The sequence below is a fragment of the Homo sapiens genome, chromosome 7, assembly GCF_000001405.40.
Source record: "Homo sapiens chromosome 7, GRCh38.p14 Primary Assembly".
NCBI classification, from domain to species: Eukaryota; Metazoa; Chordata; class Mammalia; order Primates; family Hominidae; genus Homo; species Homo sapiens.
This window is the reverse complement of record NC_000007.14, coordinates 37,720,791-37,745,200: the sequence shown is the minus strand read 5'-3', so window position 1 is coordinate 37,745,200 and position 24,410 is coordinate 37,720,791. Positions and strand designations below refer to the sequence as shown.

General features: G+C 38.5%; 1 protein-coding gene across 15 annotated transcripts in view, besides 1 other annotated feature; it reads right to left on the bottom strand.

Annotated features, from left to right (window-relative positions):
- Positions 1-1,365: 1,365 nt before the first annotated feature.
- The window catches only part of GPR141 (G protein-coupled receptor 141), a 60,070-nt gene continuing 37,025 nt past the window's right edge, over positions 1,366-24,410 (bottom strand). For 9 of the 15 annotated variants that reach the window (XM_011515375.4, NM_001329994.2, XM_047420331.1 and 6 more), the window contains one exon: positions 1,366-4,821. In XM_011515375.4, coding sequence (XP_011513677.1) covers positions 3,890-4,821 — 932 coding nt within the window. In that variant the 3' untranslated portion in view covers positions 1,366-3,889. Of the gene's footprint in view, positions 4,822-15,162; positions 15,286-16,139; positions 21,948-24,410 lie in introns of those variants that run through there. The other 6 variants (NM_181791.3, NM_001329993.2, XM_011515386.3 and 3 more) reach the window with 3 other exon arrangements.
- Positions 16,055-16,164: a silencer, noted in NCBI's record as "silent region_18106". NCBI's record gives its function as "represses an Ori minimal core promoter by ATAC-STARR-seq in GM12878 lymphoblastoid cells {active_cell/tissue: GM12878}" and the evidence as "EXISTENCE:reporter gene assay evidence [ECO:0000049][PMID:35858748]".

The window sequence follows — 24,410 nt, the reverse complement described above, 5'->3', positions numbered from 1 at the left end:
GAAAAACTGATTCTTAACCCAACAATCGAGTTTTCATGGCAGCTTCATTGAGGAGGATTTGGGGAGGCAAGAGGGATTTATTAACACCTCTTGAATCACTTTACACAAAGTTCATTTCACCTACAATTTCTCCTTAATTTAAATGAAGTTGAGGAGGAAGGCAGGGGACTCAATGATCCTTTCACAGGAAAATTAAGGAATAAACAAGAGCCAAATAGTGTCCCTTTTAATGGGTGCCTGAAGAGATCTTTCTCCCTGGGCCTCAAAAATTATTATGTCTGGGTTAAAAATCTGGTAGATATTGATCAAGAGCCAATCTGAGAGTGGTGAGGCTCAGAAAAAGTGTATTTTTCTTATTAAAAAAGAAAATACACATGTATATTTTCTTCACATTTTTCTAAAAGTTGCATTTAATTGCTGTAGAAACAAAAGAAGTAATTTAGAATTGAATGAAGATGAGGTAAGTATTTCAAAAACACTGAAATATTTTTCCTGTTTATAATGTTAAAATTTATAAATTTCCCTCTTATTTTGTCCCTTTGTGGTAATTCAGTGGTTCTCAGCTTTCTCAGACCCAATACCTTGCTTTTTATCACAAATATTTGGTAATACTTTTACCATTCTAAAAGGAAACTTACAGATAATTTTACCATTTCAAAATGAAATGTATATGCTTTCTACACTAATAATGTAAACATACACATTATTTTTACGTATAATGTTCTCACTGTAATATAAATGAGTAATGAAAAGAAAAGTTATGGATAACAGTATATAATTCAGTGTGTAAATGCTCAGGCATAATCACATAAAGAGACAAAATGAGTGAGTCTGATGCTGACACCTGTATGTAATATCTCCTGAATACAATAGCTACAAATATTGCTTACAGGTATGTTGTGTCATATTTTAATGTCATAAATGGTATTGTTACTTATAATGTCATTTCCAAAGTACTGAACAACTCTTGGTAAAGCTCAGAGGAAACCAAAGTAAAATCTTTCTTCAATCCATGATAGCTGCATTTCCAGAAAATTCAGAGAATTAAAGCTATACAAAAAAAAATACTACGTGTTTACGAAAACTGGGTAAAACCTGATAGCTGCTCTGATTGTTATGAGTATATGTTTCACTTCATTAATATCTAATAGAGTATTCAAATAGAGAGCAAGACCTGATACTTCTTTATTGTACAGACAATTATGTGCAAGGCAAGATGTCTATTCCTTGGCTCCCACCACCAAATGCTAATACTAGTGCTCTCTTATAATGGTGATATCCAAAAATGGCCCTAGAGGCCAATGTCACTCCCAATGTCACATGAGGTTCATTTCTGTATTGATTCAAGACAAAGAACAGGAAAACTAAAATTTTTCTATTTATTCCATAAATACTGATGAAAAAGATATTTTATATTATGAAATATTGCATTTCTATCTTTTGAGAACATTTCTAATAAGCCTGTTATTATAATATATGAAAATAACATAGTGTTATGTTAACATTATAACAGATTAATACAGAGATTAATTCTTTTGAATTGCCTGACCTCAACATATCTAAAATCTGGAAAAGAGTATGACATAATCTACAAGGTAATGAAATTCTCATGAATACTTTTAATTTAAATATTTTTCTAAATTTTTTTTACATATTTATAGGTATTATAAATTTTCTTAAAACTATCAGGGGTCTTAGTAACGGTCTTACAAATTTTATGGTTCAAAATGAGAAAGAAAAAATGTAAAAAATAAATGGGAAAAAAGGCAAGAAAGAAAAGAAATATTACTTGTTTAAAAGGATATTTAAAAGAATATATAAAACAGAAAATATATGGAAACAAGTCATGTTTGAACTATGTTGCTACTTCTGCTTCCTCAGAATTAATTTCTGTGGCTCAGTAATTTTAGTGGTCACAGAAATTCACAGAGGTATTTCTTATTCATCTGAGGAATTTGTGGATCCACAGTGATAATAAATTATGAAAAACTTTTAAATCCCGAAGATATACCTTGATGAAAAAAAAAGTTCCCTTAATTCATTCTGTTATTCTATTCATGTTACTAATCACTTCAGGTTTTCTGCAGCATTAAATATGAAACTGGATCAGATCCTGGGAAAATTTTAAGATAAAACACTGAAGACACTGGAAGTATGGGCAGGAGCAAAAAAAACCCAAAAAGCAAAAACCCACAAGCCTATGTATCAACCTAGCCAGTAACAGAAGTTCTTGAAATAAAATCAGTTTAACGTGCCACATGCCACAAGTTATTAATACAATTTTACAAAAAGTAATTCCGAATTTGGAAAGAAAATCCATATTATTTTATTATTATTACTTTAAATTTTATTTTAAGTTCAGGGGTACATGTGCAGGTTTGTTACATAGGTAAACATGTGTCATGGGAGTTTGTTGTACAGATTATTTCATCCCGAGTATTAAGCCTAGTTCCCATTAGTTATTTTTCCTATATTTTAAAGGATTATGATTTTATTGCTTTGGGGGACATTTATTTATCCACTCTTCAAATATTCAGAAAACCTTCTTCATGCAACCTAATCTCACAGAGTCTAAATTAATGGTTTTTCTATATACTTCTCAAAAGTCCTCTTTTAAAAACACAGTTTTCATTTATTTAAAAATATATAATTTTAACCTGGAAACCATCATTCTCAGCAAACTAACACAGGAACAGAAAACCAAACACCGCATGTTCTCACTTAGAAGTGGGAGTTGAACAATGAAAACACATGGACACAGGGAGGGGAACATCACACAATGGGGCCTGTCCAGGGGTGGGGGGCTAGGGGAGGGAGAGCATTAGGAGAAATACCTAATGTAGATGGGTTGACAGGTGCCGCAAACCACCATGGCACGTGTATACCTATGTAACAAACCTGCACATTCTGCACATGTACCCCAGAACTTAAGGTATAATTTAAATATATATATATATAATTTTAACGGCGGAAGGGAGCTCTAAAGATTTCAGTATAACTTTCTGTCCCCCCTAAAAATCTTAATTAACTGTGGCCCAGGACATCTAGAAATTCTCTCAAAAAACAGAAGAGAAAAAAATTTTAATCACTTCCCTTGGGAACTCATTTTAATGCCTACCAGCACATTAGTCAGGGATAGTCTCTAAATTACAGTTTCACCATTATGTAGATATGTCCAGTAAGCTTTTAAATGATTTTTGGAGCAACAGTGCAATTGGTGATAATTGAGGAAGTTGATCCCCAAGTCCTTAAACGACCTTTCACAGGACAAATCTAGAAACCCTTGTTATAACAGGAGGCCACACGTTCTTTTTCTCTTGATTTCTAGACAGATGACTTCCTACCAGAGTTATGATACCCTAGAAAAATTTTTAACTATTCTCTCCCCTTATCAGTTTTTATCAGGGCATGAGATGAATGGGACATCTAACCTGGTTAGCGAAGGAGAGTTTGTGTCTTTGGAGCTGGGTGGTGGCCAGAATTTACTTACCTAAGGTGAAGTGGGATGAAAAGAACTAAAGGTCTGAGTTCAGTCCAAAACCTAAGAGACCATGCTTCAAACAGAGGAACTTAGAATGAGCTAATGAAACTCTAAAACTCTTAAAACCTATGTTGCTTTCATGGGCCACACAGACATTCTGTACTGGAAAATAATGTAATATTGCAACTCCAGGTGGATTCAACAACACTGGTCTTTGTACGGCCATCACTCAGAGATGGGAGGGATCCCATAAGGACTACAATGAGGGCTCTTGCATTTTATAGTCCTTTTGTTTTGGGTACATCAAGGCATGGTTTTGATCAAGTAATGAAATACCATTCTTACCTCCCCTATACCCATTTTTATTCCCAATATAAAGGAAGCAAATATGAATACTGTAGTTTGTGGCTAACGGCACAAAACACAATTCCATAAGCCAATTATCTTTTGCTTAAACCAATGGCTTCCCCCAAAGACAAAGAGAAGCAAATCATAGCAGCTAATTGCTGTTACACTCAAGAAGATTTCGTTATAAAATGCAACCTTGCTGTTACAGGCATTGGAATGCGTCACAACATTCAAGTAATAGATCCTAAAGAACTGGTAGGGAAGGAAACAAACAAGGATGACCCCTATAAAAAATAGGTTTTTCAGCTGAGCCCAGAACTCCTGGTGGGATAGTAAAGAGTGGCGTAGCTTCTGCACCATCAACATAATGATGAAGACCTGGAAGACCAACAGAATCACAGCAACGGCTATGACAAAAATGACTATCATATAGTTGATGATTTTCACATATGTGTAAGCAAGCTCTTTGTGAAATTTAAAACAGTGCTCCTCATTGTATTCCTCATGGATTCCATACCGGGAGACAACCAGGGGTACCACAATGACAATCACCAGCGTCCACATGCCAGCACTGGCAGCCACAGCATGCAGTTTTCTGTAGAATTCCACTTTGTCTTTGCACTTGAAGAAGATGAGGTATCTGGTGACCAGGATCACCACATAGAATAGGAACGTGAGGTACATGTGGATGTGCAGCATGGCACTCACAAATTTGCAGAAGGGCAGCCCAAACATCCAAGTCTTCTTGATGAGGTAGGTCAAGCGAAATGGCACTGTCAGCAGAAAAACGCTGTGGACCACCACCAAGTTAATGACCGCCATGGTGGTCACTGACCGGGTGTTCATTTTCACCAGGAGGAAAAGAATGGAAATGACACCCACCAGCCCGCCAATAAGCACTATGAAGTAGAGGCTGATTAAGTGGGGTGTCACTATAGGATCGCAAGAGGAATTCCTGGAGGTATTGTGGCCAGGCATACTTGGGAAGTCACCTGGAGGAGAAAAAGCACCAGAGTAACTGACAAGCTTTCAGAGCTTTGTTCCTATCTCTTTTACAGCACTGACAATGTGACTTTGCCATTTATGTGCTTATATGATATAAACTTTACATGCTTTAAGAATGAAGATTATTTCCTATGAATGTTTGCATACCCTAGACCTAAAACACAGTAAGCCATTGATTCTTACTCTTTAATAGGAATAAAAATCGAATCTGAATCTTCAAGTTGCCCCCCAGAGAGATGTATGTAGATAAGACAATTTACATAAAACTTCAGGAGGATTGCAGACCATCTGGAGCTAGTACTTGGATACTAGTACTACAGTAACCCTTTAAAAAGTTGTGAGATGGATAGAAAGATCGATGGATTCATGAAGTATACAATTTTTTTTTCTTACGGGCATGATTATAATTCTCTAATTCTTTCTTACTTATTAGCAAATGACCCAAGAATATTCATACTTAATTCATTTAGAATACTGATTAATTTGACCAAAAATACCATCTAAGTCAAGAGAGCAGCAAGCAATAGGAAGGTTTACCTGAATTTCTCATTACAGTTATTTTATCTTCTAGCAGTGAGTGAGGCCTTGCTAAGCCTTCCCATGGGCCCCACTGAAATATAGCATGTCTTCCAACTCTCTCATCTCCTACTCTCAAAGGCCTTGCAAATTCGTGACAGAGCCACTGGCATTTATCCCCTGGACTCCTGAAAGATCCGCTCCACAATTACTCTCAGTCCTTTCTAATTCATTCTCCATATTCTTATTCATTGCTTGCTGTAAAAGATTTAGTAATCTTTTAATTTCACTAAGAAAGTCATGTCAGTTTCCTATCTAAATCCCTTCAACGGCTTCCCATCTCTCCTACGATAAAGATTGATAGCCTTACATGTCTGGAATGTTCTGGGTTACAGTGGCAAAATCTGATCCCTTGAGACAAGATTCAAGCAATAATCAAGAGATGAAATTGGCAGGCTTTAATGGATTTGACATGGGGAAATGAGGAAAAAAGAAGTGTCTTGATACTCTCAGATTTCTGACTTGAACAATTGTGTTATTAGAGGTATGTCTACTGACACCAGGGAGACTAAGATTTGAGAAAGAACTCACTCCCTGACCTTTGCAACACATATGCAATTATTCTTATTCATTTATTGAATGTCTCTTTGTATAATGGAATATTACCCAGCAATAAAATGAACCAACTTCTGATACACACAATACTGATGAATCTCAAACACATTACACTAAATCATGTATTCTCAATGGGGTGATAGCACCTTGTGAGGGGCAAAACATTTTGAGGTGTGAAAAAAATCTTACTCTGTATAAAGCACAGGTGTATACACAGTACATAGACATATAGATATATCTGTGGTATCAAAATTTCATTAAGTGGGGAGAGACAATTAGGGAAAAATACTCATTAGAGGGACCATAACAAACACAAAAAGTTGAGAAACATTACTAAATAAAAGGTACCAGCCACCAAGATTATATATTGTATGATATCTTTTTCTAGAAGAAGCAAAACTAATGTGACAAAAAGCAAATCAGATAGCTCAAGATCTGGGTTGTGGGGGAAAGGATTAGTTTCTGTTTTATATCATGTTGGTTACCATTGTAGTTATTCATCAAAGCTCATTGAATTGTACACTTAAAATTGGTTATTTTTATTGCATATAACTTATACCTCAATGAAACTTAAAAAAAAAAAGATAATAATAACCCAACCTCACAAAGCCTTTTGCATTTGTGGGCATGGAAAAAAATTTTAAGGAATTGTGACTCACTTAACTGAACATGATTTTTTTGTTGGCTCTGCAACAGCTGTCTCATGTTACACTGTGTATTTCATCCGTAGGCTGAAATCTCTCTACTTGCCTTTTATTTTTCCTTGTAGAAAAGTAGTTTTATCAAGGAGACATGAAATTATATTGTGTTCACATGTGAGTCAAGAATGAATGTGCCACTATAGGTTCTGCTCACCATTTCCTTTGGCTATTGGCCTAGTAGGATTGACTCCTAATTGATGAAAGTAAAGTAAGTAGCACATCACTTGTCCCAAGTCCTCTTTCTTATTATAAACTGCCATGATCGTTGCCAGATATGAGAAACACATCTTCGATGTTTCAGGACTACACTACATCCTTGCCTGTACTTTGTCTTATTTAATTTAACCCTTACAACAGTTAATTGTGTAATGTATTATTATACTGAATTTTAGATGACAAAACTGAGTCCTAGCAGGATAAGTCATTTGACCAAAGTGTCCAAAGCACACATACACTCCCGAAAACTCATTATTATATATTATGGAGAAGCATTGTGAATCTCCTAAGTCCAAGTTTCTAAACTGTAATACAAGAAGGAAAGGAGGCCATGAAGAAATTTGGTTCTACTCACATGGCTGTATGCCAACATATCTTGAAAGGTGCTTTTCTCTCTTTTTGGATATCTTACTTTCCCATTCCCTTTACTAGGCTTATAGTCAATCCCATAGGTTAGTTCACGCAATATCCACCCGAACCCTTTCTGGACTGCTTTTCTGTACAGACTTTTTGCATCTAGAGTGCTTGTATGTGCCTTAGTTTCTGCTAGTCTGTTGCACTATTGCAAAACTTGGAGGTAAAAGTGAACCAAATGAGGGATGTCAATGTGCAGACAGATTAGACCAGAGGTGTCTAATCTTTTGGCTTCCCTGGGCCACACTGGGGAAGAAGAAGAATTTTCTTGGGCCATATAGAAAATACACTAACAATAACTAATGAGCTAAAAAAAAAAAGTTAAAAATAAATCTCACAATGTTTTAAGACAGTTTACAAATTTGTGTTGGGCTACATTCAAAGCCATCCTGGACTGTATGTGGCCCATGGGCCGCAAGTTGTATAACCTTGGATTAGACCATTTGACAAGACAGTAGTATGTTTATCTGGTTCCTCTGGGACTGCTGTAATAGAATCCTGGATTTCAAATACTAACATGATATATTACACATAATTTCAATCACATTTTACATTAAATGTAAATAGAGTAAACAGTCCAATTAAAAAATAAAGGTTGTTATACTGTATCAAAGAAACAGGATCCAGCTACATGGGTTTTAAGAAAGACATTATAAACACAGGAATTATAATAAAAGTGATATATTCATTATGAAATTTCCTCTTTATTTCAAATAATGATTCTTCCTCAAGATCAACTTTTGACACACTCAAGCTTCTTTTCTTTAGTGTGTGTACTTTATATCTTTTCCCTTTTTCTTGCAATCTTTATGATTATTACATTTAAAATGTGTGTGTTGTAAATAGAAATTTTGACTCTTGTTTAAAATGTTATAAATTCAGAGCATTTTAATTCCATTTACCCACTCCCTTATTCTCAGTTTTCATGCTTTTTATTTCTACATATCTAATTAAACCCCACACAATATTATTGTATTGTATCATTAACATTCAATCCCTAGTCATTTATTTTTGTCCATTTAGTTTTCTTATCCATTGATTTTTATGTCTTCTTGAATTTCTGTGTTTCCATTGGGTATAACTTTCCTTCTGCTGAAGAACTCCATTTTAAATTTCTTTCAGTACAAATTTCTTAGGGATAAATTCTCTCAGCTTTCGTATGTGTGTGTCTGAAAATGTTTTCATTTCATCTTTATTTTTAGGATATATTTGCAAGACATAAAAGCCGAGGTTGGCATTTCCTTTCAGTACTTTAAAGATGTTATTACATTGTCTCTTGCCTTTCATCATTGAGACTTCAGTTGTCAATATTGCCATTGCTTCTATTATGGTTGCATGTCTTTTTTCTTTCTTTCTTTCTTTTTAAGAAAGATTTTTTTGCACTTTTGCCTGGGTGTTTTTTTTTTTTTCCTCTGTTTATACTGTTTGGGGTTCTTAAATTTATAGGTTAATGTCTTTTGTCACTTTTGGGAAATAATCAGTTTTACCCCGCCAAATATTGCTTTGTCCCAATCTGTTATCTCCTCTTAAAGTTCAATTATAGTTATGTTAGACATTTTAACTGCTTTCCTTCTGTCTCTAATTTTTTCTGAATTTTATATACATTTCATCCATCTCTTCTTCCCTTTTTCCATTTGCATATATTCTTTTTTTTTTAAAGAGTCTTGCTCTGTCACCCAGGCTGGAGTGCAATGGCACGATCTTGGCTCACTGCAACCTCTGCCTCCCAGGTTCAAGCAATTATCCTGCCTCAGCCTCCCGAGTAACTGGGATTACAGGTCTCCACACCCGGCTAATGTTTGTATTTTTAGTAGAGACGGGTTTCACCATGTTGGTCCGTCTGGTCTCAAACTCCTGACCTCAAGTGATCCACCCGCCTCAGCCTCCCAAAGTGCTGGGATTACAGGTGTGAGCTATCATGCCCGGCCTGGATATATTCTTGTTCAGTGCTTTTATCTTTGGCTGTTTCTATTCTGCTGCTAAACCAACTAGAATTCTTAATACCAGATATGAAATACTTTCAGTTCTAGGCTGTGTCGGTCTTACACATTCTACTTTGTGAAATTTTCTCATCTATTTCATTTTCTTCACCTTTTCCTTTAATTTCTTAAATACTTTAATCATAGTTATTTCAAAAGGCTCGTCAAGAACATTTATAGATATACTTCTATTATCTGTTTTTTTCTCTTGGTTTTCCATTATGTAATCTTTTCCTTTGATATGTCTAGTAATTTACTAATAAATTCTGTATATTTTTCTTAAAAAAGGTAGTGGTTCCAAGTAATGTTCTTTTCCTTGAGAGGGGTCATCCTTTCTGCCACTATACTAACATTATTTTGAGTCAAGCCTTGTTTGCAGTTCTAGTAAGGCTTAGTGTACTTCTGGGTCTCCTTAGCCCCCTTTGTAATTTTAGCTACAGTCAATAGTCTTATCTCTGACCACTTTTTCTGATGAATCTGGCCTGACTTCAAATCCTGGTCTTATAAAACTGCTGACATCTTTGCTATATTTTTCAGCTGTTTTAAGGCTTAGGATATTAGTCTCCCATCCCCCCAAGTCCCAGAATTCATCAAAATGTCTTCATGCATTGGTGAAGAATTTGGATTCTCAGCTCTGAATTGGAAAAGCTACTGTTGTGAAAGAAGTTGCTTTGAGCTTTTCTCTCCTTGGGAGTCATGACCTCTTCACTAATTGCCTCAGCTGTGCTCCACTGTCTTCAAGCAAATAACTTCTGTATTTTACTTTATTTGATTTCTTGGATTATTCCTGGTGGGAGCTCTAATCAGTTGATCAACCTTCCATCCCATGAAGATGCAGAAGCTAACGCAATTTTTAATGTTTCAGTAGTGCAATACATTCTTACAGTCTTGAAATTAATTGAATTAACAAGAGAAAGGTAACTTCCTCCCCAACATACAAAGATTAGTTCCCTAACTTTTATAAATTTCAATTATAATGTAAATATGTTATAGTACTGTTATTTGTACATTTTAAAGTGCATCATCTAATCCCTGCTGGCAGCAGCCACACTCCATAACACCTTATCTTCACTCAATGCCTCAAGCTCTTTCTTGCCTTAGCACCAACACCTCTTCTCTCCCCTCCCCATCCATCTACTAATCCTTCAGGTCTTAAGTCTACTATCAGTTCTTTAGGGAAGTTTTCTCTGACTCCCATACTAGGTAAGATCTACTTGGTAAGATCTCTTTCAGAAGATAAGTCAGAGAACTCCTACACTACATGAGATCTATCTGACCTTCTCTTTTCTCCTCTTCTGAAGATAAAAGAATCACCTCTACAAGGGTGATTAAATAATCACTTGGGTTAATGGGTGCTGGTTGCTGGTATCTTCCCTCTTTCCCCTAGATTGTAAGCTCCTAAGCTCCACAAGGACAAGGACTGTGCATGTTTTTATTATTTTCCACTCTTTTATCCATAGCAATAGCCAACACATAGAAGATAGTCTCTAAATATGAAGTGGAAGAGTAATTAAATATTCATAACATGTAGCTAAGAGAACAATGCGTTACTTCAATTCTTGCTTCTACTACTGTTTGCAGTGTTACTGTGAACAAACTACTTAACCTCTCTGAGGCTTATTTCTCTCACCTAAAATGTGGATAAGCCCTACCTACCTCATATAGTCGTTATGAGACAAATTAGATAATTTATGCAAAATTAAAACAATATACAACATAATAATTAATATTGATTAATTGAGTAATTAATGAGTTGGGACAGTCTTGTTCTGTTGCCCAGGCTGGAGTGCAGTGGCATCATCATGGTTCACTGCAGCCTTGATCTCCTGTGCTCAAGTGATCCTCCCACCTCAGCCTTCCCAGTAGCTAGGACTACAGGTGTGCACCACCACGCCTGGCCTAACTTTTGTATTTTTTGTGGAGACAGGGTTTCACCATGTTGCCCAGGCTGGTCTCAAACTCCTCGGCTCAAGAAATCCACCTGCCTTGATCTCCCAAAATGTTGGGATTACAGGCATGGGGCACGATACTCGGCCAATATTGATTAATTTATGAGATAAATATCCAACGTATGAAGTGGAAAAAATCTTCTAGGAATATTTTAAACATCACCTTTTGGCTGCAAAATTCCTGCAAACTTCTGTTTTTCTGAGGGGTCTAGCAAGTGGGCAATAACTGGAATGGTAACTAACAGTGATGCTAATCCTAGCAATACTTTTTTTTTCTTTTCTTTTTTCTTTTTTTTTTTTTTTTTGAGATGGAGTTTCACTCTGTCACCCAGGCTGGAGTGCAGTGCTGGGATCTCGGCTCACCGCAACCTCCGCCTCCCGGCTTCAAGTGATTCTCCTGCCTCAGCCTCCGGAGTAGCTGGGATTACAGGTGCCTGCCACCACACCTGGCTTATTTTTTGTATTATAGTAGAGACGGAGTTTCACCATTTTGTCCAGGCTCTTCTTGAACTCCTGACCTCAGGTGATCCACCCGCCTCAGCCTCCCAAAGTGCTGGGATTACAAGCGTGAGCCACCCTGCCTGGCTGTAATACTTATCTGTGGTTTTCCTCATCCACGTCCCTGCTCCATTTGCTGGGACAAGTCACCATGTGTTATGGTGACATCACAGTTATTCCCAGGAGCTGGGGCTTCTTCCCATCCCAAAACCTAGGACCCAAGCTGTTTATAATAACATTCCTTGCCAGGCTGTATGATAATAAAAGCACCTGTAGATATAGCTGCAAAACATTCAGCTAGCCAAGCACATAGAGCCAAGTCCATATCTTCTCAGCCCCGCCCAGACCTATTCATGTACTCTATGTTACTCATTCTTGACTTGTCACCTGATATCTGGTTTTGGTTCTCTGCCTTACCTGACACACTTTGGCTCACTCCCCACCAGCTCCCTGGCTCAGACTCAGCGCTCTTGATTGTTTCCCAGGCAAACCCATCTGCCTGACTTTAAAGCCTAATTTTCCCTTCTAGGAAATGCCTCTTCATGTCTCAGCTCCCCCATATATTCTTGCTACTTTCCTGTGACTACATCTCCACCTCAAGCTTTGTAATAACCTTCTCCCAATCAGAACTAAGTTTTATCTGCGTCTCAGGAGATTCTGCATGAACCACTGCTGTGCCAATCCTCTCCTTACGACCATCTAGCTCTTATAAAGAGTCCTGCTCTGCTCCTTTGTTACATATCTATTACTGAGACTCCTTGGTGGTGCTGTTTATCTGCTCATTATCTTCATAACCTATTTATTGTTCCTATAGTGTAACCTTGAGGTCAAGTTCCATGATCCCACCTACCTATGATCACTTGTCCTGAAATTGAGTCCTGATAGGTTTTCCAGATGCTGCCTTTTATGTCTGCCTGAACTCAGCATGTTTCCAACTTCCAAATTCCTTTTTTATGGTGCTCTGTCCACACTTAATCAGGACATTGCACAAGACTTTCAGATGATCTGCATCAAATTGCAACATCTCCATTCTGTCCCATGGACTACAGCTAAAATTATCCTTCTGCTAAACCATGCACTCTCTCAATCTGCCTGCTGGGGGCAGACTCTCGCAACTCATCACTCTCAAGGTGAGGGGGCTCTGACTCTAGCCTAGGTAATAGGTTGTTGCAAAAGTAATTGCGGTTTTTGCCATTCAAAGCAATGACAAAAACCGCAATTACTTTTGCAACAACCTAATAACAAAAAGAGAGGTTGCAGTGAGCCGAGATCACGCCACTGCACTCCAGCCTGGGTGACAGAGTGAGACTCCATCTCAAAAAAAAAAAAAAAAAGAGAGAGAGAAAGAAAAGGAGAAGTTAGAAAGTTCTTCCTTCACGTTGTGCACATGTACCCTAGAACTTAAAGTATAATAAAAAAATAAAATAAATAAATAAATAAAAATAAAAAAAACAAACAAAGAAACCTCTCTTCCTCTTTACTTTGCTTCTTTCTACAAGGCACTTACTCCCTTATTGTCCCCTTGAAGACCACTTCATCTCATGTAATGGGCACCCTACTCCCAAGATGGCTCCCCAGCATCTAAAAGCAAAGCAAGAACTAGGATGGGGCCAAATGGAGGAACACCATGAAGCAATAAACATTTCAAGATTCACATTTAGTAAGAAAGGACAGAAAGCGATTGGGGCACAATTTTTTCCTAATGGGACAAAAAAATTATATATCTGTATAAGAAGTATTCCTTTGCGCCTGTAATCCCCGCACTTCGGGAGGCCGAGGCGGGCGGATCACGAGGTCAGGAGATTGAGACCATCCTGGCTAACTCGGTGAAACCCCGTCTCTACTAAAAATACAAAAAAAAAGAAAAATTAGCCGGGCGTTGTGGCGGGCGCCTGTAGTCCCAGCTACTCGGGAGGCTGAGGCAGGAGAATGGCGTGAACCCGGGAGGCGGAGCTTGCAGTGAGCCGAGATCCTGCCATTGCACTCCAGCCTGGGCGACAGAGTATTCCTTTGCATATGGGATGCTATTCTAGAGATTGATGGGAATTTTTAATTAGTTGACCTAAAATTTTCTCTCTACATTTCTTTCAGAGAGACACCTCGTTCTCCACGTGCATGACTTGCTTGCAGCCATGACTACATCCAGTGCCCGACCAGCAGAGCTGGACAATCACCTCCCCACCTATGCAGGTACAAGGGGGATTGCTACATACTCGTAACAGCCTGTCTCTAATCCCTGAGAAGAGATGAGTATGCAGGATCAATAACATGATTTTATCAGTATTACATTAAAGAACTGAATTCTCCAAATTGAATTTGAAACATTAAAATCTGCAGATAATTCTCATTTGAGTTTTAATTTTAGCAGTGTCACATTTATCCTCCAGGGCATATTTCTTTGTACAGTGGTTTATTTCAATAGCAATTAATAGCAACATCAATTCAGCCAAAGTAAACATATTTGTTTGAACTTAGACCGTTAAATATTTCCTAGTCTATTAATTTATGTGTCTGTTAGAGTTGGATGCCCACAAAGAATGAAGGAAATTTCGAGCCTTTTCACAAAATGGAAAGTTCAAAGCTTAACAACCTTGAAAGGAAATGTCTTCATTGCTAAAAAATTGAGCACATACAAAAATAATAAATGCTTCTCAGAAATGCTTCCAATACCTCACTTCAGAATATTAGCTTGCTATTTAGAACAGTCCCTGAGACTGTGGGAAAGCCAAGAGAATGTCTGAGAGACACAGTGAGCTGTGAAGCAGTGAGCCTGCCAGGTATGAGACAGACAAGCCTGAGAGACAAACACCATGGCCATGGCCGGGCCCTGGGACCCTGGAACAAGCAAGCCAGCACCTGCAGTCACAAAAACAAGTGCAACTGATGGCTTTGACGCGTGTTATATACAGAACCTGCCAAGTGTGGTTAAAACAAACACTTGCAGGTAAGAAATATGCAGTCTCTGATCAAACGAAAAGCTCTGTTTTCCTGGATGCCAGCTTTAGATGATATATGTTTAGATTTCTTAATATTCAGGTTCAGGTTTTGAAATTTGTCCTGAGCTTTGGGACACAGGCACTTTGAAGAGAAAACAACTGAAGCTTACAAGGTGCCCAGGATAGACTGTTTGAGATACACTTGTTATTATTATTTAGAGATCCACCTCACACTTTATTTTGTAGAAAAATATAGCATGTGCCGTAGCTCAGAATTTGGAACATGGTATGTGTCAAGTACTTCTGCAATGATTCAGTGAATTCATGAAAGAGAGCGAGAGATCAAGAAAGTGAGGGAGGAAAAGAGAGAAGAGAAAGAAGGGGGGAAACAAAGAAAAGGAATAAGAAAAAGAAAGAAGAGAAGAAGATGAAGGGAAAATAGGAGAGTAGGTTCTGAGGGTCCCAGCCAGTGATGCTGGTGTTATACTTAGGCATTGAACTGACCGTAATATTTTCCTGGGATCTGGTCTTTCTTTACACCTAGAAATGATTGAAATGTCTCAGTTACTTTCTCAGTTGATTCTCCAATATACTTTTGCTAAGGAGTGCAGCTGATCCCAGGAAAACCTGAAAGAAGGTAAGAGAGAGGTAGTTTCTGCTTCCACGGAGACAATCCATTCCAAATACAAGAAGCCAGGGAATTGTTTTTTAAACAACATTAACAACAGTTATTTGTTGATGCTACTTAGATATTTCACCTATATATCTTCATTGCGCTTTCTCTTCCCAAAATATTACCCCCACTCACACAGTCTTGCACATCTTTGAGGTGTAAACACAGACTGCATTTTCTTTCAAGCCCTTCAGGCCCCCGGGACATTCTCAGCTCCTTTCTCAAAAAGCTTTACAGGTGCCTTTCAGTCCTACCTTTGTTGTCTTATTCTCTGTTTTAATTATTTTAGTCATTTGTGGACTTGTTTTTAACTTTGAATTTCTTTCAAAACTAGCATATAATTTTTAAATAGTGGTCATGAGTTGTTAACTGAATGGGTGAAATAATGGTGAAAAAGTGCCCTGACTGGATTAAACATTTTTTGGATATGGCCACATTTGGATCTAGACCAACAACTGACATCAGGATCCCAGAAATAAACTGCAAACCCAGAGCCAGCTCTCTCAGGGGACAGGGCTGCCTCTCTGGCTGGCTGTGGACCTCCTTGTTCCACATGAGGATCCCCTCTTTACCTCTGTGATTGACCTTGGAAGGTCATCATGAAGCCTGGCCTCAAACTCTGATTTTCCCCTGCCCTCTGTCATGTCTCTGCTTAAAATCCTTCTTTGGTTACTGTTAGAGAAAAGAAAAAACTCTGAGTTCCTACCATGACATGTAAGCCCTTTGCAAGCTGGCCTCAGCTTCTATTTCAAGGGACACCTCCTCTCTAACCCCCTTCCTTCAGCCTCGAGCTGTGACTCAGACTTACCTGTCATTCTTGGAATGTTCTCTTTCATACCTCCAGCTTGCTTCTTGTTTCTCTAGGACCCAAATGTACAGCTAAACAACTAGAATGAAGTCCAAATTGCATCATCAATGATTTCACTTCTCTTTTTAAAAACTTTCCCTGGCATCCCATTGTCTATGGGAGCTGTGGGAACTGACATATTAGCTGACCTGACATACCAGGCCAGGCCTTGCTGGTATTTGTAGCTCTAAACAAGCCTCTGCCCTATCCTGGTGCACCAGGATTCTCCCATCCTGCCTGCATGATTCTCTTGTGATTCTGGTCTGATCTCATCCCACACACAAGAGAGCTCCTCAGGTCTTCCTGAGGCCTGGCTGGTGGCTATTCCCTTGTATCTTATCAACCCCCTTCCCAAAGCCTTGCCCACAACCTTGCTTGGGTCTCAGTGGTCATTGTCCATGGCCTGAGGACTACATCAATGTCAAAAGTGAGATATGGAAGTGGTTTCTGTGGCTGTTTTATAAGAAACCTATGGTAGAGCCAACATCAGAGACCAGCCTACAAAATGAGAGTCCTACACAATTTATAGAACCCTGAAAAATAACATTAAATAATCCAAATGCTCATTAGCGTGTAGACCTTAGTCACCAGAACCCCTCCCTGCACCATTTTAAAACAGACAAACAAGTATAACCTACTTTGGGATTTCTCACTTAATTTATTAAACAAGTGATATCACTCTAACTGTCTACTGTACAGTAGGTAGCAAAGATTCTGAAATGAATAAAACACATCACCGCTTTTAAATCTCCTGTTTGGTAGGAGAGAAAGAGGCACATCAATTATTTACAGAAACACCTATGGGTACGTGAAAAATGCTGCAAGAATTCAGAAAGAGCAGTAATTATTTAAGAGGTACTTGAGGATGAAGGCATCAAAATAAAGTAAAAGATGCTTGGGTACAGATATGTAGCAGTTACTGGATCTTGAAGGGTGCATTGAAGTTCTAGATGTAGAGAGGAGGAAATAAAGCACTCCAGGGAAAGAGAAGATTCTGGGCAAAGGCTTGGATGCACATTCGGGGAATTACCAATAGTTTGATGTACCTGGAACATTTGACATATTAGGAGAACGTGGGTGAGAATCTGTACATGAGGATTCCCATATTTACGGCATGTTGCCACTCTAAGGATTTTCAATTTTATTCTGAAAATTATGAGGGATGCAGGGAATTTTAGAATACTAAATGACATCTTAATATTTCAATTTTGAAAGCTTGTTTTGGCAACAGATTGGATAGTTGGCAAAGGGTTATTCAAGTTTAAATATTATAAGGATTGGAGCAAGATGACACCCACCTAGGAGAGCTTGCCCCCAAATTAAACAAAAATTGAAGAGTCTGGGCTTGGAAAAGAAAAGTACATGCTTCAGGTAACTTCATCCACATTCAACAGTAAAAAGACAAAGAACAGTCACTGGATATTTTAGGAGAGCTAATGACACATTAGATGGATACCAAATTTCCCAGACAAAAGAACTAACAGATGGGTTGGTTTGCTAAGAGGGCAAAGTGGAAAAAAGTAACTTTAAAATGTCCTCAGAGAGAAGAGAATGGTGTGAAATAAGACTCAGAGTTGTTATTTTAATTAAAATGTACCAAACCACACAATCAATGAGCTTGTAAGAAGGTTGAGAATACTCCCACAGATAGAAGCAAAAAAGGTCAAGAGATGGAAGATTTAAAAGAAAAGCTAAAAAACCCCAAGAACAAAACTATTAATAGAAGTTCCAACATCATCTGGAGACAGCAAAAGAGAATGAAATGCTCAGATAAATAATTAAAGGACATTTTCTACACATAGAAAAGATAAAATGTTTATGTTGAAAGGTCCCACCCAGCACTGAGCTAAACTACTAGAAAAGACTCAGATTTAGACACATAAAGATGTTATTTCAAATCACAAAGAACAAATTAGCATATCCACTTCGATGTATAATAAACATCTCAAACTTAGTATATCCAAGGCTGAACTGTGCCCCAGACATACACAAAAACTTCTTCCTTGCAAAGTCCTCGCAGTTTAACTAGTAATACGAACTCCATTTTCTATTTGCATACGTGAAAAATCTTACAATTATCCCTAATTCCTCTTTTTCTCCCATAATTCACCTCCACTCCTTCAGCAACTCCTATCCCCTGTCTCTCATATTAGTCCACATAGAGTCCATGGGCCAGATTTTTTCTATAAAGGATATTACTGGTATAATTGGCCAAATATTAACACAGTCTGCAGATTAAATAATAGAATTGTATCAATGTTATTTTCCTGATCTTGACCATTGTATGTGGTTGTATAAGAGAATATCCTGTTCTTATATAATATACACCACATACTATAAGGATAAAGGCAGCATGCTTTCTATTTATTATCAAATCAATCCAAAAAATTACAATATGGATATACAAAAAGAGAAAAACCAATGTGGAAAAGATTACAATTGGGGAATCTGGGTGAAGGTTATATTGGAGCTCTTTATCATTCTTCTAACATTGTAAATGTTTTGTGTAAAATTATTTCTAAATTTAAAAATTATGAAAAATTACATAAAATAAACATAGAGTTGGTCAACTCTTCATTGCCTAAATTGCAACAACTGGGATTCAGCCACATTAACTCTTAATGGGATTATTACAGCAAGCCCATGAATTCTCCCATTTTTTACTCCTAACTCCCCTATTCCCAACTCAGCAACCAGAGTAATCTTTCAGAATGTAAATTAGAAGATGTCATTCTTCTTATCTCAATCCTCCAATGGCTTCTCACCTTTCTCAGAATCAAATCAAGATTTGGAAATGGTCTGAAAGGCCTTACAGGATGTGATCCCTCCTCCCCGCTCTCTGTCCTTTGATCTCACTTCCTACAGTCAAAATGCAGTGAAACACATTTTAAACCTAAAATGCTCATGTTCATACCAAATTAAAACACCCATTGGTTTCCACATGGTGGCAGTGAGGGAAATAAAAGAGAGAAATTGTATGTGAATATCTCAGTATTTTTTGGTGGGGAGGAGGTTAAAGGTACTGTTTAAGTGTAGAGAAATAAAAATGAATATAACTTCTTGATGAAAACTTAAGAGCAATCAATTAGTGAACCAAAGTTGCATGTATGGCTTGCAAATTATGAGAAGGAAAAATGGAACACAGTAATAGCAGTAACAGAGGCAGGAAGGAAAAAAAAAAACAAAGCAAACATGGTAAATAGACATATTTTAAAATAAAAGAATGAAAAGTCCAGACATCTGAAATCACACAATTTATAATTTGTTCCTTCTTCCACCTACAAAAAGAAGAAATTTTGTCTATCACTCTGTGACTACACTAAAAACCACTGAATTGTGGTTCACCAACCATAAAGTTGTCCTTTGAAAAAAGAATGACTTTTATAGTTGGTGAATTATATTTCAGTAAAGCCATTGTGCAAAAAAAGAGAGAAAGAAATTGCGTCTGAGCTGAGCCTTGGGGATGAGGGAGGAGGGGGAGAATTATTGACAGAGAATCAATGCTGCCGGTGACTGCCTTCATTCATTCATATCAAGGGCAGAGCAGGAAACTCCCTGGTTAGAGGACTAGGAGGATGCCGTGCCAGGAACCAGGAGCCCTGGATGCCTCACCCTGCTCAAGTTCGCAGGCCTGGTCCCTCTGATGTGGCCGCTCATTCCTCCTTGCTCCCCGCTCCATCCCTGGCTTCACTTCTTTCTGCTGCACCTTGAACAGATGGGACTGCAGATTCACCTTCTTGATTCTTGACCACTCAATACAAGGAACCAGCCCTACCCAAGCCATGTTCTTCATAACACTGATCACTGTCATCTCACTTTTTCTTTGTCATTCTCTATATTCACCCCTTCTTCCAAGAAGAAAAGATCCATGAGAGTGGTCATGGTGTCTCCATCTCCAGGAGAGAAGGAACCCTTGGACCAGGAATCAGAAGAAAAAATCACAAATTCTTAGTGTCAGAGTGAAACCTAGAGATTATAGCATCCAGTGCACCCATTTAACTAAGGAAGACACCGAGGCCCACACAGCGACCTTTGAAAGCTAGCACGGCTTGTCACTGGCTAAATTCCAGGTTCTGTGTCTCAGTCTGGGACTATTCCTGTGACACAGCACTACTAAAGGCAGACTCCAGAGGCCCAGCAGGACAGACGGCAGCTTCTAATCAAGAGAACTATGCTTTAAGTCCAGCCCCATAGGCCCCACCTCAAGGACACCAGTTGGGAGCCAGGATGGATGTCCAGCCCCAGCTAGAAGAGGCATCACAGGTTGTTCTGAGAAAAGGTTGTCAGCAGACAAATGGCTTCCTGCCTTTGAGCTCTCCTTAGAACGAATTATAGTTTGTTGTGTTTGCAGAAAACAAATAGGAACAGTCACTTTAATCACTCACTCAGGGAAACTCAAGCAGCAGTTCATCCAAAATATATTGAGAAAAGATTCTGGGATGGCAGCTCCCACATTAAGGACGAGCTCAGTGTAGCTAAAAAACCAAAACCAAAAAAATCTGTCTGAAAATATCTGAAGCAGTGTGGGAAACAATAAAAAAGAAATATCAACTCTAAAGAAATTCACTGCAGAAGGTTATATGCCTAAGTAACATATAAAAATTGCCCCCTGCTTTGTTCATATTCGAACTCTCTCTCACAGTCCTCCTCCTCTGTACATCCTATTTCTGAAGTTTGAAAGGACTCTCTTGGGTTTTCTATGGTTTTTTTAATAGCAAAAAAAAATGTATATATATATTTTTTAGGCAGTTTCAAGTAAAGTTAGATCTGCAGCCTCACTCATCAAAGACATCATTTTTCACCAAAGAGCAGGCTTCTGGATTTGAGCTATCCTTTCTCTCCTCACTTGAGGAGTTCACCATTGCTGCTGACTCTCTAAAGGTGAGGATGCAAGTTCTGGTTACCTACAAGGGAAGTGGGAGCTGAAACTCAGAGGCTTTGTGTCTGTGTAGAGTGAGCCACACTGCTCTGCAAGGCACCCAGGGCACCCCTGCTGCCACCCATGTTCTCGAAAATAAGGAACTGTCAGTGAGTTCTTTCCATTCCCAGGGAGAGCCTTGCATAGATCTGTAGGTCTGCAGATATTGAAATGTGCTATGAATTCTGATCTTTGTGAATGTCCATCTCCTTACCAGAAATTTTGCTTCAAAGAAATCTTTCATTGTCCAGGAACTGTGCTTTATTCTCAGAAACTGTTAAATCTGGGGGACTGTGTTCCTGGCATTCCTGAGTGTCCAGTGCTACTACAGCCTTGTTGCCACCTTTGACACACCATCTGGCCTACTTAATCCACCCAACCTCAAAAGACAGAGAAACATGTCTATACGGACATGTAAGGGACGAGGCCTTCAGACAGGCAAAACGTGGTATCCAACAATGCTGGTAACTTCCTTGCCTCCAAGCCTCCTTATGGCCCATGAAGCACTAAAATGTGATAGAGCAAGAATAGGACATCACTAAAGGAGGCTGCTTTTCACATCACCATTTCACAAGATTCACTCTGTGCTTCACCCAGTATCATAGTTTCCTCCCTCCCTCACCATGTCCACTTCAGGCATTTCACTATCTGCTTGCTCATCTTCCGTGCCATTCACTTTTTTTTTTTCTTCCTAGTAACTTCTAGGGTTTTATTTCTTTTTATTTTCTCAGTGTTTCTGGTATTTTTTATATTAATAAAAAAAGAGGCAACTAAAAGGCACTAAAGAAAAATTAGGCATTTCTGGACTCTTAGGCCAGGCACGGTGGCTCATGTCTATAATCCAGGCACTTTGGGAGGCCGAGGTGGGTGGATCACCTGAGGTTAGGAGCTCAAGATGAGCATGGCCAACATGGTGAAATCCCGTCTGTACTAAAAATACAAAAATTAGCCAGGTGTGGTAACACACTCCTGTAGTCCCAGCTACTCAGGATGCTGAGGCAAGAGAATCACTTGAACCCAGGAGGCAGAGGTTATAATGAGCCAAGTGGTACAAGATACCACTGTACTCCAACCTGGGCAACAGACTGAGACTCTGTCAAAAAAAAAAAAGAAAGAAAGAAAGAAGGAAGGAAGGAAGGAAGGAAGGAAGGAAGGAAGGAAGGAAGGAAGGAAGGAAGGAAAGGAAAAAGAAAAATTAGAACAGAATTTTTCCACTTTTTAAAATATTAGTGTATTTTCTGCTAATATCTTTCTATGCATCTGTGTTAGATTGTTAGATAGTGATAATATTGCACCTCAATTTTCAAACCATGTTTTTTGCTAGTAATGTATAATACCAAAGTACTTAGCCTTGGAGTTTCTGAACTTTTTTTTTTTTTTTTTTGAGATGGAGTCTGGCTCTGTCACCCAGGCTGGAGTGCAGTGGCATAAGTTGGCTCACTGCAACCTCCACCTCCTGGGTTCAAGCAATTTTCCTGCATCAACCTCCCAAGCAGCTGGGATTACAGGCACCTGCAACCATGCTCAGCTAATTTTTGTATTTTTAGTAGAGACGGGGTTTCACCATGTTGGCCAGGCTAGTCTCGAACTCCTGACCTCAAGTGATCTGCCCACCTTGGCCTCCCAAAGTGCTGGGATTAGAGGGGTGAGCTACTGTGCCCGGCTTTTTTTTTTTTTTAAGAGAGGGAACCTTACTATAGTGCTTAGGCTGGTCTCAAGCTCCTGGCCTCAAGTCATCCTCCTGCCTCAACCTCCCAAGTAGCTGGGACTGCAGATGCAAGCCAGCATGCCTGACCTGTTTCCGTGCACTTTTATACGACCGTATAACATCTCATCAAGTGGATGTCTCCAAAGTGATTTAATCAAATTTTCAATGATGTTATGTTTCTAACTTATTGTTATAAATAACTCTAGGACAATCACTTTTGTGAATTTAGTGTTTTACATATTTTAGATTTTTCCAGAAGGTGGTGTCCAATAAAAAAGTGGTCATATGACATGAAAGTATTTGTGGATATAGATTAATAGTGCCAAGTTGCTTTATGTTGACAGACATGAAATATTTCCTTAAAGTCAAAAGTTTATTTCTGCTTTCTAATTTAAACTATTCCTGTCAAGAAGTTTTCCAATATGTTATCCAGATGACTTCAATCAACCATTAATCTTTATTCACTGTAGGTGAAATATACTTGTAGGCAAAATTCTGAAATGAACAAGACAAAAAAGGCTGTGGATAAAATATATCCTTCAAGTAACCCATTGCCCCCTGAGACAGACACCATACTTTCAGGCCTCCACAGTCTAGGCTGACAGTGAGAGAAGACTCTCCCAGAAGTTCTAAAAATTGTGTCTCCACTTTACACCCAAACAGAGACGTGGAGAAATTGTCAACCTTTGTCTTGGAGCCCAATATAATCTGCCAACAAGTTCAGCTGCCACGCCAACAAAAAATCTAGGGAGGACCAAGAATGGAAAATAATTTTAGGACACGTTGGGCATGTTTCTAATGGGCATTTCATCTGTAGAAGTAACCAACATCTATGGATGGAAAACACCACACCACCAAAGGGAAAGCCGTTCAGAGAAGACCTTTCTTAAATCAAAGCTACTGAGACATTAACCAGGCCAATCTGTCCAAGATAACCCTTACTCTGTCTTCAGCCCCAGGTACCTCTAGGTTTATGCCTTTTCACCAATAACGGGCACATCTATTGTAGCATAATGTATTGATAACTTTTGTCACCAGGTCCTGAGTGCCTCTTCAGTTCCTGGCACTAAGATGGAAATTTCTTATATGATACTTATAATCCTCCCAAGAAATCCAGGACAAGGGTACTTTTATTCCAAATATTAGTTGAAGAAATGAAGCTCGGAAAAGTTAAGCAACTTTCTGGGTTCACTCAACTAACAAATGACAGCCCTGAAATTGGAGACCCAGGCTGTTTGACTCTGAAGCCTAAATGTTCTGCAGCACATCACAGGGTCACAGCAACACAGAAGTCCCTTTCCTATGAAAAAAGAGAAAAAGTGACATTTCTTCACTGCTCCATCCCTGCTCTCCTTCGGAGCTGTGGATTCCCCTAGACAATTGGTCCTTGTTTTTCAACTGTATTGTTTGTATCTCTATGACCAATTATCAGGGTATTGAAAAGCAGTTAATTAGAATACTAGAAGAGGACTTGGAGAAGTAATTAAAACAGGCCTACTCAAGTTCTCTAAAGCCAATAAATGTTTGAAAAGCAGTTCATCAGATTGCAATGTAAGAGAAAAATAAAACTGCACTAAAAATTTAATTCCCCAAATTTAATGTATCC